This window comes from Homo sapiens, chromosome 1 (assembly GCF_000001405.40).
Source record: "Homo sapiens chromosome 1, GRCh38.p14 Primary Assembly".
NCBI classification, from domain to species: domain Eukaryota; kingdom Metazoa; phylum Chordata; class Mammalia; order Primates; family Hominidae; genus Homo; species Homo sapiens.
In genome coordinates this window covers 143,685,246-143,699,619 of record NC_000001.11, presented here as the reverse complement: position 1 = coordinate 143,699,619, position 14,374 = coordinate 143,685,246, and the positions used below count along the sequence as shown (strand labels likewise).

The window sequence follows — 14,374 nt, the reverse complement described above, 5'->3', positions numbered from 1 at the left end:
ACACTTACCTGGCAGGGGAGATAGTATGATCATGAAAGTGGTTTTTCCAGAGCGAGGCTTATCCATTGCACTCCGGATGTGTTGACCTCTGCGATTTCCCCAACTGTGGGAAACTCGACTGCGTAATTTGTGGTAGTGGGGGACTGCGTTCGCGCTTTCCCCTGAATTTTCCAGTGCAAAAAGCAGTTGGTATGCAAAGGTCTACTTCTCGCTTTTTTTTGCTGTATAATCTTGGTGGTGGTGTGTTATTCTTATAGCCGGATGGCAGGGAAACAGGAAGTAACATGTCGCCGTCGTTCCTGCCGGAAAAATAAGCGTCAGGCGTTGTGTTCCTGTTTAACACAAGCTAAGTAGCGCGAAGGCCGCACAGCTCCTTCCTTTCAACATGAGGCTGCTTTTTGCAGAGATTGGTCCATAGTCTCCATTCTCTTGGGGTCTCACGCTCTGTAAAAATCTTCTTGTTTTTCCCTAGCCCCCAATCACCTTTTACACAGCCTCTGCTTCTAAGCGCAGCCCCCTCAGGAGTTTGTAGGATTTCTGTGCTAGCGGGGAATGTGTTCTCACTTGGTAGAGCCAGGTACAAACTACGCAGACGGGCGCTGTTCTTTGGGAAGAAATCAGGGCCTTTGGGGCTCTTAGTGTTCCCGTTGGGTTGTAGACATAACACGCTTACTTTGCGGAGGGGAAGGGGTCTACCGGCGCCCAGGTGCCCTAACGCAATTCATCCCGAGACACGCAGGTCAGAACCGCAGTCTCACCTGTCTTGGCGAAAATGCGCTGCGATCCTCCCTGAAATATAAAGCGGGAAATTTTATGAGGAGCCGGATCCACTATCTCCTGCCGTTTACATATCTAGTCTTTCTTCAGATTTCATTTAAGTGACAGCTTCTTGTTTGATGTCTCGCTTCCACATCCCACATCCATTGCCAGGCAACTTTCTAAATAGCACCCCGACCCATGCTTCCCACCCCCAAGCCGCCTCTTTCTATCTCTGGCGCCAGTGTCCTCCCCCGTCCCTCTTCAGGCCCTCGCTTATCACCTTCATGGACAGGAAGTACTTAGCTCTCTCTCAACCTGCGTTTTGCACCAGACACGCATCAGTACCCTGGCAAATTCGGACGTTTCCTTAATACCCCTTCTCAAATGGCATTGTAAATTCATCTCTTTTTAACTCCCAGAAGTATCTAATTGGTTTTGTCCCTGCACTACATGAGCACAAGAATTCCACTACAGAAGAAAACCCCAGGCCTAGTGATGGAGGTTCTGGGCATTTCGCCAGCCTCTCCCAGGGTGTGTTTTCTGACCCCACCCACTTCTGATCTCTAATGTCCTGGTCAATAGAAACTACCTGGCCCAAACGAAAAAGGCAAAGAGGACCACGGAAGGAAGGCCTATGGCGTCCCCTGGTGGCTACCCTGGGGACGGCACTCATAGATCCGCACGTCCCGAGAAGCCTCTGCCATCCCAACCCGGGCGCGGTGCAGAAACCCGCGGCTCCAAAGAAAACCGGCTAGAACGCACAGGACGCCCAGCGAGTGTTCAGGACACTGCGAGTGGAAGCCGTACTTCTTACGGACTGATCTAGTTTGATGAAGACGAGCCATTTACTTCTAACCCCAACAGCGGACATTGCCTTGCTCAAATATAAAATATATGAAGCAAGACCGAAAACAACTTTCATTGCGTTACCGATGAGCAAAAGGGTTTTTAGAATGTTTAAGAAATGTCCCTTGTTTCGGGACCGTCATCACTAACGTATGCTTGGGATTCCTCATCGAGGAGTTTCTGAGCAAAAGGACCCACCAATCCGGTGGCTGAGAACGGCTTGGATATTGGCTTCCAGGCGCATCAGAAATACCGAGGTTCTGACAAAGACATGAGCTTCTGTCTGCCTTTGGGAAGGCCTTCTTCCAGTCCTGGCGCTGCCCCTTGCCTTCTGTTTGACCTTGGGCCAGGTCCTTCAATTTGCTAGGCTTCAAGTTGGAAAGTGTTACAGGAAAATAATAATATGAAGTACTTCTTGGAGTTATTGCACAGATTACAGAAGATAGTCTAATAGTACAGCTAGCATCGTGTGTGGCTTACATTAAGGATTTGCTGATAGGAAATAATATCCCAGATAAAGTTTCTTCCCCTTAATTATGAAATATAAGAAAGGAAATTGTGTAGACTGCTGCTTCAGGCCTCAACTTTTTTCAAAAAACATTTGAATGAATTTTGCACTTGTGAAGGTGACATCCTTTTACAAAATAAGTTAATACTAAAGAATGACAAATGGAATTTACAAAACATATATTCACAAAAAGAACTTGTTCTTAGCAGCTTTGTTTACAATAGTCCCGAAACTGGAAACCGTTCATATGCATCAAGAGGTGAATGGACCTATTGTGATATATTCTTCCAGGGGAAGATGGGACAAATTATGGAAACATGAGATAGCATTGGTGAATCTCAAAAACCTCATGCTGAGTGATGAAAAGAGTGCATCCTCTGTGGCGCCATCAAGCTGAATTTCTAGAACAGGTGAAACTAACCTGTATAGTGACAGAAACTACATCATTGATTGCTGGGTTCAGGGAGTCGAGGGGACTGACTACAAAGGGTACAAAAGGACATTTTGGAGTAATAGACATGTCATCAAACTTGAAATGGATGCATTGTACCATATTCAACCAATGCCTTAATCAATTTGATTGTAAAAAGTAATAAGAAAACCACTACAGGCTGCAGGCTGGGTGCGGTGGCTCACGCCTGTAATCCTAGCACTCTGGGAGGCTGAGGCAGGCGGATCACCTGAGGTAAGGAGTTTGAAACCAGCGGGCCAACATGGTGAAACCTCATCTCTACTAAAAATACAAAAAAAAAAATTAGCTGGGCGTGGTGGCGGGCGCCTGTAATCCCAGCTACTTGGGAGGCTAAGGCAGGAGAATCTCTTGAACCTGGGAGGTGGAAGTTGCAGTAAGCTGAGCTGGCGCCACCACACTCCAGTCTGGGTGACAGAGTGAGTGATGCCATGCTAAAAAAAAAAAAAAAGAAAAGAAAAGAAAAAGAAGGCCGGGTGCAGTGGCCTACGCCTGTAATCCCGGCTCTTTGGGAGGCCGAGGCAGACGGATTGCGAGGGCAAGAGATCGAGACCATCCTAGCCAACATAGTGAAACCCCATCTCTACTAAAAATACAAAAATTAGCTGGATGTGGTGGTGCACACCTGTAGTCCCAGCTACTTGGGAGGCTGAGGCAGGAGAATTGCTTGAACCTGGGAGGCAGAGGTTGCAGTGAGCCGAGATCGTGCCACTGCACTCCAGCCTGGGCGACAGAGAAGACTCGGTCTCAAAAAACAAAACAAAACAAAACAAAACAAAACAAAAAACAAAAAAAAGGAAAACCACTGCAAATCATAATGCCTTCTACTTAATTTAATGTACGTTTAGCTTTAGAAGATTCCTTTAGAAAATGTCTCTCTAAATGTGATTGAGAGTTCAGGAATTCCTTCATTTGTGTTTCTGTCTCTGTCTTCAGTTAAATTCATGCACTATTAAATGGAATATTTGTAAAATAAAAATACAGTCTAAGCTCAATTTTACAAAAGCATATATGTATGTGGATATATATATATAAAATATATAACTCATATATATATATATATATATATATATATATATATATAGCTTTCTTTATTGTTCTATTTTTTCTTTTATGGGTGCATGGGGCGGGGGCCAGTCTACCTAAAATATACACTGTCTCTGTAGATATACCAGAAGAACATGACTCAATGAGTGTTGCCCTAATGTTAACAAAAATTATTTTGAACTTAACGTGATCAGAAATTTTATGTATCTGTACTTTTTCTGTATTGGTGGTATGGTCTATGCTAAGCATGTATAATTTTTTTTTAAATGAGAGTAACTTTAAAATTGTTTGGAAGAAAAATATGTACATATGTGAACAGTACTTTGCTAATATGGATAACTGGTTATCTTCTTCTTTCCGTATCTTTCATATTTTTAAATGGAAAAACTCAATGACTTGGAAGTGAAAGGACAGATTAGATATGGAAGGGGTGTGGGGCAGGTGAGAGGAAAATGTAAAGGGAAGGACAAACCCAGTTCTGGCAGGACCATGTTTAAGTTGAAGGTTTCTGGGGAGCAGTTATTGGGATAAGAAGGAAATGCGGGAGGCAGGAGAATCATGAAAATATTTAGGACAGTGTATTGCCTATCTTATCATTCCTCCTCCTTTTGTGTTTCTTCAAAAGAAATATACAGACTTACATTTCTTTTCAAGCATGCTTACCATTTGTGTTTTTCTTTTATTAGTGTAATTGCCTGCTAGGTTTATCTTGCTGGTTGCCCAGAAAAGCCAATGGAGCTGAGCACAGCAGGCTTTCTACAATAGAGAAAAAATTTAATAAATGCAAAGGCAGCTGAGGGACCAGGACAGGGGTTTATTATTACTCAAATCTGCCTCCCCCCAAATTCGGAGACTAGGGTTTTTTTTTTTTTTTTTTTGGATAGTTTGGCAGGCAGGGGGCTAGGAAATGGGCAAAGCTGATTGGTTGCGTTGGGGATGAAATCACAGTGTCAGAGCTTGTTTATGGCACTGAGTCAGTCCCTGGGTGAGGGCCACAGGACAAGATGAGACAGTTTACCGGTCTGGGTGTGCCAGCTAGTCCATCATAAGGCAGGGTCTGAAAAATACCTTGAACACCCTGTCAAATCTTAGGTTTGACACTAATACTGTTATATAAGGCACAGTTGGGGAGCTTAGGAATCATGTGGCTTCTGGCTGCATGGCTCCTGAGCCATAATTTCCAATCTCGTACCTGATCTGTTAGCTTTGCTAAGGAGGTCTGATCCCCAAGAAAGGAAGGGGTTTGTCTCAGGAATGGGCAATCATCTCTGTTTCAGACTTAGACTTGGAACTAAACTCCTCTCATAGTTAGCCTGGCCTATGCCCAGGAATGGACAAGGGCAGCTCAGAGGTTAGAAGCAAGATGCAGTCAGTTAGGTCAGATTTCTTTCACAGTCATAGTTTTCCTATGTCAGGTTTTTCTCACTGTCATAATTTTTGCAAGGCTGGTTTTGTTAGGAGCAGTATAAACACAGTGGTTCTGAGAATGTCTTCTGGAGACAGGCTGCCTTCACTTCAAATTCCCACTTTCAAATCCTCCTTTGCTGGCTGAGTGACCCTGGGCAGGTCACTTAACATCTTTGTGCATCTCAGTTTTCTCATATGGAAGATGAAGGTGATGGCGTGACCTCTGCCTGAGGTAAGGACTAAATGAGTAAACATACGCACACTCATCAACTGTGTGTGACATGTAGCACTTTGGGTTGCAGGCACAGTTGATGATGTGCATGTGTTACTCATGTGCATGTTAGCTCTTGTATTTTGCCTGTAACACTGCACAAAGAGCAGATGTGATGAAAACCGGTTGTATTGAAGTTATAGCAGTGATACTTTCCAGTGACCATGCACCCTCCCAGGGAGACTGCAGCAATCCTCTCACCAGCAGCAACCTCCTGGGCTGGGAGATCCCAGGAAGGCCCCTCAATCTCCAACAAGTTTGACCCTCAAGGAGCTTCGGGGAATGAGCTAGAGAAGTATTTCTATCTGGGGGGAACTGGGAGTTTATTAGCTCATCTGTTCAACTCATCCAAAGGGGAATAATGATTCAATTTTTTGCTTCACATCTGCCCCAATAAAATTTTTATAGCTTTACAGTGGAAGACATTTGTACATGTCGGGGAGGAAATATGACTTTTCCTCACCCAGCCTAGGTTCACTGCTGAGACCCTCACAGCAAAACACAGACTAATAAGAGAAGAACATATGTATTTGTTTAATGTAAGTTTTATGTGACAGGAGCGCCTTCCAAAGAAAATGAAGGCCCATGGAAACAGCTAAACCTCAGTTTTTTGTTTATTTGTTTTTTAACAGTAGTTTTATTGAAGAATGGATAGTCATGGAGAAGTATGATAAGACAATAAAAGTATGATCTAACAGTAACAAACTGGGGAAAATGTGGCCAGGCCTCTGTGTTCAGGCTCTTCTCTGTGTCCCTGTGTCTTCACACTCCAGGATGCACCTTTCCTCTGGGTACAGAGAGGGCACCTCTCACATAAGAGTCTTACAATCGACTTCAGGGAAGAAGGGCAGGGGGAGGGTGACAGTGACCTTCCTGCTTCTGTGGTTTACTCATATTCCTTTAGCATAAAATATTCAATACCCCAAGATGTTATACTTTGGAGTAGCATGTCCTGAATCCCATCATGCACATGCAACAAAACCCAGAATCTTTGAAGAGTGATGACTACAAAATATTTAAATTCAAAATACAAATGATGGCCAAGTGGGGTGGCTCATGCCTGTAATCCCAGCAGAGAGGTTCAGGGAGGCCCAGGCAGGCGGATCACCTGAGTTCTTAAGTTCGAGAGCTGCCTGGCCAAAATGGCGTAACCCTGTCTCTACTAAAAATACAAAAATTAGCACACCTGTTATTCCAGCTACTTTCAGGGGGTGGGGAACGGGCGGGCTGAGGATCAACTGAAACAATATCATATTTACAAATGATTTTTTTTTTTCCTGTAAGGCTAGTCAAGTGAAGCAGTGGAAGTGGAGAAGGAACAAAGAAACCTGTAACTGGTTGTGATCAATTATTTGTGAACAGGAATGAATTTTTTATGCACTATACACTGTTTTCATAGTTACATATGCTGCAAAGCTGGTGGTGAACCGCAGTGCCGTGGTCCCTTCCTACACTTATCTGTAGGGATAACAATTTTTAATGCATGCAGCCAACCTCTACATAAATATTGTTACTCTTTGACTGTCCAATTGTCCATCCCAGGCCCTGCAGTGTAGCCTGCAAGGGGAAACGGAGTTTATTTTTCCTTACCTGCCAGTCCACTCCAAGGAGCCAAGAAGGCGTCTTCTCACCGCCCCCCTCCCCCAGCTCGTCCTCCAAACTGAGCCCCTCAAAGACTGCGGTGTTTTTCAGTCCTTCGTAACCGCTCTCAGCCCCAAAATATGAAAATCAGAGCGATGGTCCTGAGCGCCTGGAGTGACATCTTAGTTCACTCCCAAGACCCATCAGGAACCTCATCCCAAGTGCTCTGAAGCGCAGGAGAAAACATTTTTAACTCTGGTAGCGTTCTAAGGCGTCTTCTCCTTGGGGCAGGGTCCTGACGGGACGAGGGGGAGCCCCACCGTCAGAGACTGGCCCCTCAGAGCTGCTCAGGCTCCTCTTCCCCGTGGTCCTGCGGGAGTTCAGCCGGGGCGGCCGAGGAACAGAACCCGCGCTCCCAGCCCGCGCGGATCTCTCTTTCCGGCTGAGATCTTGGGAGGAAAGAATGAAATTTCCCGGAGTCAGGTTCCAAAGCTTAGTGAAACAGCGACTTTTAGGGCCCGCAATAGAGACGTAGGAGCTAGAAATTCGGCATAAAAATCTGAATATGAAGAACAGAATAAATTAACATTCGGAATTGGATGGGCCATGCGAATAAAAAAGTGCTACTCCCAAGTTAGGTCTCCAACCACCGATCCTAAACTGAGACACAATCTCCAGTGACTGAGCTAACCCCATCAAAATTTCTCACGCCACCGTTTACTTACCAAAATGACAAAGGATGCGATTAAGAGATTTCCCGGGTGAAAGGAATCTCGGGGTCTAGGATCGAGAGGTGGCAGCCTTTTTAGTGGAGACCTCTCCCCGAGGCCTAGGGTCGCCCTGAGAGGGGGTGAGGACTTGCTGGGTCGCTGGGTCCCTGGCGGGGCGAGTCCGGGCCTCCGATTGCTGGGTGCCAGGAGGCTGGCCCTGAAAGGGGATCCTCCAGGCTCTTTGACCCCGAATGGATGATTCGGCGATTTCCCTGTGGTCCGGGCCACTGTGAGAACCCGGTTTCTGGGACCCCGAACACCGAAGAGGGGATGAGGAGAGCGGCGTGCATCCCGAGGCTCAGACAGCGGGAGCAGAAGGGACACGGAGGCCCGCAGCGCAGAGCTTCTGAACGTCAGCAGAATCCCCATTCCATTTAGGGAGTAAAACACGGCATTGCCTTCCTAATTAAACAGAAAGGTTCCACCGAGACTCGAACTCGGATCGCTGGATTCAGAGTCCAGAGTGCTTACCATTACACCATGGAACCTCACAATGCGAATTTGCCAGAAGCGTCTGAATTCCTAATAAGTAGCAATAGTTCCCACCCACCCATGTCAAGGCATTTCTATTATCCCACAAGCAACACTCCAGGAAGGTGGACCTGCAGGAAGGAGCCATCCTTCTTGCTTTCTCTCTGCCCTCTCCTTTGATCGACTTCTATCATTTCATTTGCACCTCGGAAAATGAGGCAAAAATCCACTGCGAGTTTAGGGCCAGAGAAGAGCCCCTGAAGCCTCTGTCATAGAGTTTCCTGTGCCTAGGTGAAATTTCTTTCTTCCTTTCTTCGTTTCTTCCTCTTTTCTTTTCTTTTCTCTCTCTCTCTCCCTTTCTTTCTTTCCTTCCTTCCTTCTTTCTTTCTTTCTTTCTTTCTTTCTTTCTTTCTTTCTTTCTTTCTTTCTTTTCTTCCTTCCTTCCCTTCCTTCCTTCCTTTCTTTCTTTCTTTCTTTCTTTCTTTCTTTCTTTCTTTCTTTCTTTCTTTCTTTCCATTGAGACAGAGTTTCCTTCTGTTGCTCAGGCTGGAGTGCAGTGCAGTGGCAGTGGGTGATCTCTCCTCACTGCCACCTCCATCTGCTGGGTTCAAGTGATTGTAATCCCCAGTAGCTGGGATTACAAGCGTGGGCCACCATGCCTGGTTAAATTTTGTATATTTAGTAGAGATGAGGTTTTGCCATGTTGGCCAGGCTGGTATTGAACTCTTGACCTCAAGTGATTTGCCCACCTTGGCCTCCCAAAGTGCTGGGATTACAGGTGTGAGCCACTGCGCCCAGACCGGAGATGAAATTTCTGCAAAATTTCTGTTATTTTCTTGATGCTTTCCTTCTTTTCTGTTTGCCCAAGGAGGCCAGATGATTGTCAAAACAGGACATGGGACATCCTGGGTGCCTTGCCCCCTTCTTCCCTGTAGTATATAACAGAAGACAGCAATCAAATGAGATTGGGAGGCAGGGAATCATTCATTGTCTTGTTCATATACTTCTATGTTTGTTTGTTTGGTTGGTTTTAACAAAATTTGCTCACCAGAAATGGAAATTTTTTGGATTTAAAATAAATGCAATCAGCCATATTATATATTTCTATAAAACACTCAAACCAGGCCATACTCACCTGCTATGACTCAAAATCAACCATATACTGTCAAGGTCAGGAGGCGGGGCCCTGACATTTAAGCACAGTGTATTTTCTCAGAATTGGCCAAGTTGATGTCATTCCAATTTCTCAATATCTCATGACCCATTAATTGCAGGCTTTAAAAGTGTACATGTATTGTTACTGAAAGCCCAGGTGTTTGGTCTAGGCCCGCGGCTCAGCTCACAGAAAGCCAATCATTGAGACATTGAGTATTGCCAAGGAAGAAGGCTTTAACTGTGTGCTGCAGCTGAGGAGACGGGAGATCAGTCTCAAATCAATCTCCCTGATCAACTAAAGTGAGGAGTTTATGTAGCAGGGAAGAAACGTAACTGTGAGTAGGAAAAGAGGAACTGGAGGGGTGAGGAAGCACTTATGATGAGTGAGGGGTCTGGCATCTCATTGTCTGGATGCTGTGATCTGCTGAGTTTCAGGTCTATGATGCTTTTTGAGAGGCTGAGGGTCCTTTCCTGAGGAATGAACTCAGATAAAACAAATGTAAGTTTCAAGCTTTAAGACTAGAAGGGTCCATTTCTACATCTATCCAAAAACACTGTCTGTGGGACTATTGCATCGATTTCAGTCCCCACTTTCTATTTGTCAGTTCCTCAATCATGGGGAATCTGGTCATCCATCTTTCTGGCTGTGTCATGTGGAGAAGGGGCATCCTGGGCAGCTCCACACCATGGGTGACCGCATGGCCACCCAGGAATCAAACATTCATCTAATACCATGGTTTCTCCTGAAACACAACCTTCCTCTCTCCAGTTCCCCATTTCCACTAAGATAAAACACAGCAGGACCAACCTACCTGCAAAAGAAGCTTCAGTCCCATATACTTGGCCTGATTACCCACACAAAGTGCAGCAAGAATCATTGTTCACATAGGCTCTCCTAAATGGGCTTTGCTGGAACATTTCACAATGACATTTCAGGCAAAGCCCTGGGAAAATTACCAATTCCTCCACCTGTGTCAGGTTATAAAAGAAAACAGAATCTTATTGAACTTATGCAAATAAACACATTGTCATGAATTAAGAATATTCAGTTTACAAATTCTGGAGAAATTCAGCAGAGAGAGAAAAATATGCCTCAAATTCTGTTTAGAAGACTATTCTACTCAATTGTTTCAGGCTATAAATAGCTCAAAAGGAAAAAAGTTCTCCAGACTCTGAAGAATAAACCATGTTTCAAACAAACAAACAAACAAAGGCCATAAAAACTTATTTCAGTCCTCCATTAGTTTAATCCATGCAATCATCTCCTGCTTTGCTTCATACTGGGCTAGCAATCTCTATGAACACATCAGCCTTTCTGTTAGTGCCCTGGAAATTTTCTCTTTAGTTAATGGCACGATCTCCAGAGTTATCAGAAACCTGCATCCAAGAGTCCTTTTCATGGACTTCCCCAAAAAACCAAGGCCTGGACTGTGACTGATTATAAGTCACTTTTTGAGAAGAATCAAAGCAAAACAACAATTGTGGATGACAAAAGCCTTAAGACAGCCATAGTTAAAGATACAGTTGACAAGGGAATTTGGTTGGTTCTGTGGCACACAACAATTTAACGTAATAATCATAATTATTACCAACAGCATATCAGAACTCTAGGAATCTCATACAATCCTGGAACACACATTAACAACACATCTGTGTCAATAGAACCCAAAGGAAGTGAAACACCACCTCAGATTTGACAATGCTTCATGCATAATTCTACATAACAAATAAGCCTAAGAAGCCTAATATATCTCTCTTGGACTTCAAGAACCTAATATCCAAAAAGTTAATTTGAGGTCCAAAGGGCTGAATTTAGAAATTTTACTCTTAGAAAGTTTGCCAGATATCAAAGTTTTGAGACACTTGATATCACAAAATAGGGTCACAGGTCACCTTATAATAGTCAATCATTTAGCCAAAAGGTAAACAAAAATATTTTATCTATTATTAATATTACACAAACATTTTGATCAAAAGAGAAAACTAAATTTTACCTTTGTGTGGTGTATTAAAATGTTAAAGATAATTTTAATAAAACCTTATACACAAATTTAATTACAATTAGTTTGACCATAAGGTAAGAGTTTCAAAAACCTTTCATGACCTTTTATACTTTTCTATGAAAAATCAGATGAACGCTCTAGAAAACCCTGTTATTCTGATACACGGGGCCAGTTGCTGGCCTTGCATCAGTGTGCTCCTGAGTGTAATGTCTAATTTATAGAAAATCTCTGAATTTGAGAGGCCAGGGTGGGTGGATCACTTGAACTTAGGAGTTTGAGTCTAGCCTGGGCAATATGGTGAAACATTGTGTCTACCAAAAATGCAAAAAAAAAAAAAAAAAAAAGAAAGAAAGAAAGGAAAAAGGAAGGAAGGAAGGAAAGAAAAGAAAAGAGAAAGAAAAGAAAGTCTCTGAACTAAACTTATCCCTCAGACTCCGGCCTTACCATTGTCATGTGCCCATCTCTTCTGTCCAGAGGAAGAGGGGGCATGAGGTGGAAAAGGGGGCAGGTGGGATTGTTGGGTCTAGAGAGATTAAATTGTTTCAATTTCTTGTTCTGTTTCTCATGAAAGCAGTTCATTTGGATTGTCGTCTTCCTCAGGGTCTGAAGATGAGGCATTGAATGGTGTCAATATTCAAGATTTAGCAGGAGTAGGTGCCTTTTTCAGACCCAGGAGTCAAAGTCCTGTAAGCTAATAGCACAAGGATTTGTTAATAGGACATTTGTACTGCAGAAAGTTCTATTTCTCTCTAACATGTCACCAATAAAAACACTGTGATTTGGTGTCCAGTAGTTACTGCCTGCAGCACTTCAAACCATTGTATTAAAGTGGTTAGGATACTCCTTGCATGTAACTAGTTGCCAGCATTCTAATGACAGACTGCGATTGAAAGCATCAAAAATGTGACAGAACCTATGCCAAACTTTTCAAAGTAAGACAATTAAATTTTCTCTCCATCATTTAACAAAATGTTAAATGCAAATATCAGTTTTGGAAATTCAGTATGAGGATAAATAATCTGCTTTTATTTAAATACTATACAACAAAACAAGAACAAAGTGAGAATAAACACAGAGTCATTTCTTTTCAGCTATTTTATTTATTTATTTATTTTGAGACAGAATCTCCCTCTGTCACCTAGGTTGGGGTACAGTAGCAGGATCTCAGCTGACTGCAACCTCCACCTTCGAGTCCCATGTTCAAGGGATTTTCCTGCCTCAGCCTCCTGAGTAACTGGAATTACAGGTGTGCACCACCACCCCCAGCTGATTTTTGTGTTTTTAGTAAAGACAGGGTTTCATCATCTTGGCCAGGCTTCTGGCCTTGAACTCCTGGCCTTCAGTGATCTGCCCAACTCGGCCCCTCAAAGTGCTGGGATTGTAGGAATGAGCCAGAACACCCGGCCTTCTTTTCAGCTATTTTAAAAGAGCATAATCACATATTTCCAAGATTGGTTTCTAGATAGAGTACTGATTACTGATTAGGTTGCTTTCACCATTAAAATCTTCAAACCAGTGCGACAATTGTACATGTTTTGTTTTCAAGTACACACATGAAGGCCCAACAGTGATACATGGCTTGGGATCAAAAATCACTAGAAATTCTCACAACTTGTTTTTATTACCACCTCATCCAAGTGAATGTCACTGAATTTTAATAACGGTAAACACAACTAAAGGAGGTTGAGAGAAATCCAATCAATATAATATCCTGAAGGACGGGCCAATCTTTCCTAAACGTGGAAACTTTGTACCCACATCACAGTTTTTCCTCACTAAAGGAAAGGGTCTGCAACCAACTCAAATGATCGATTGAAACCAACTCATATTACTGATAGCACTGAATGTGTACCAAACCTCAGGCCATGGGTGCCTGAGTCCTAGTGTTCCTATGACATCCCCTGGGAGTGGTGGAACTCTACCTTTCAATGATGGGAAGTCTTGGGCAAGAGCAGGTCTCCTCCCCTTGTCCAGTATAGACAGCTTTTGTGTCTAACTCTGCCTCAGCAGCTGGCCTATACCTGGGGGCAAGGGTTGGACAGGTTTCTAGCTCCAACATCAGTGGTAGATGCCTTTTGTTTTATGTGAGAGAAGCAACCACGTTTTGTGCCTGTGCTCTGGTGGTGCTCTATCATGCATTCATGACTTATATGCCTACACCACTGTGGCAAGCTCGAGAAATTCTCTTTCCCTGCTACATGTGTCTTATCAGCACTAAGTACGTGGGAGGAAAGACCCAGTAAATGGGCAAAACAGGCTATGTGTCTGGGACTCTCAGAGATTCTAAGCTGTCACAATAGTTCACACTTGGCCTTTAAGAAATGATGAAGCCTGTAATCCCAGCACTTTGGGAGGCTGAGGCGGGTGGTTCACGAGGTCAGGAGATCGAGACCATCCTGGCTAACACGGTGAAACCGCGTCTCTACTAAAAATACAAAAAATTAGCCGGGCGGGGTGGCGGGTACCTGTAGTCCCAGCTACTAGGGAGGCTGAAGCAGGAGAATGGCGTGAACCCCGGGGGGTGCAGCCTGCAGTGAGCCAAGATCGCGCCACTGCACTCCAGCCTGGGCAACAGTGAGACTCCGTATCAAAAAAAAAAAAAAAAAAAACTAAAGAAATGATGAAAACTTCAGTGATTTTTCTCCAACCAACATTTATGGCTTCCATCTTTTCCTTCCATTATCTGTTAAAGATGAACTGCTTCATCTGTTTGTCCTTCTGTAGGGGGGTTTCTCATGCTTTGGACTTCAGCTGACTCAGGGGCCTTGCAACTTCAGCTCTCTGGTGGGATCAAAACACATATGATTTTGCAGACCATACAGCTTTTTCTTGTCATTAGAGTGGGAACAACTGTCTCTTGCAGCTTTCTACATCTTAAACAACTGTTGAATCACATGTCTGTTTTATAAAATCCTTATCTTGTCCTCTATTTCTGGACTAATTTCCCTTCAGGATACTACACAAATTCTTTTAGCCGATCACTTCTTTTGAGGCTGTGAGAGAGACATAGTGAACACCTTGACGATCTCTGCAAATGAGCCTATTCATTAGGTGCTCATGGGAAACCTGGGCCCAGACCAGCACTGA

The 14,374-nt window shown here is 43.7% G+C and overlaps 2 non-coding genes across 2 annotated transcripts; one reads left to right on the top strand and one right to left on the bottom strand.

Annotated features, from left to right (window-relative positions):
- RNVU1-17 (RNA, variant U1 small nuclear 17) lies at positions 1 to 164 on the top strand. The gene has a single exon (NR_104078.1). It is a non-coding gene; the product is annotated as an RNA, variant U1 small nuclear 17 (small nuclear RNA).
- Positions 165 to 8,074: 7,910 nt separating this feature from the next.
- TRQ-CTG4-2 (tRNA-Gln (anticodon CTG) 4-2) lies at positions 8,075 to 8,146 on the bottom strand. The gene has a single exon. It is a non-coding gene; the product is annotated as a tRNA-Gln (tRNA).
- Positions 8,147 to 14,374: the final 6,228 nt, after the last annotated feature.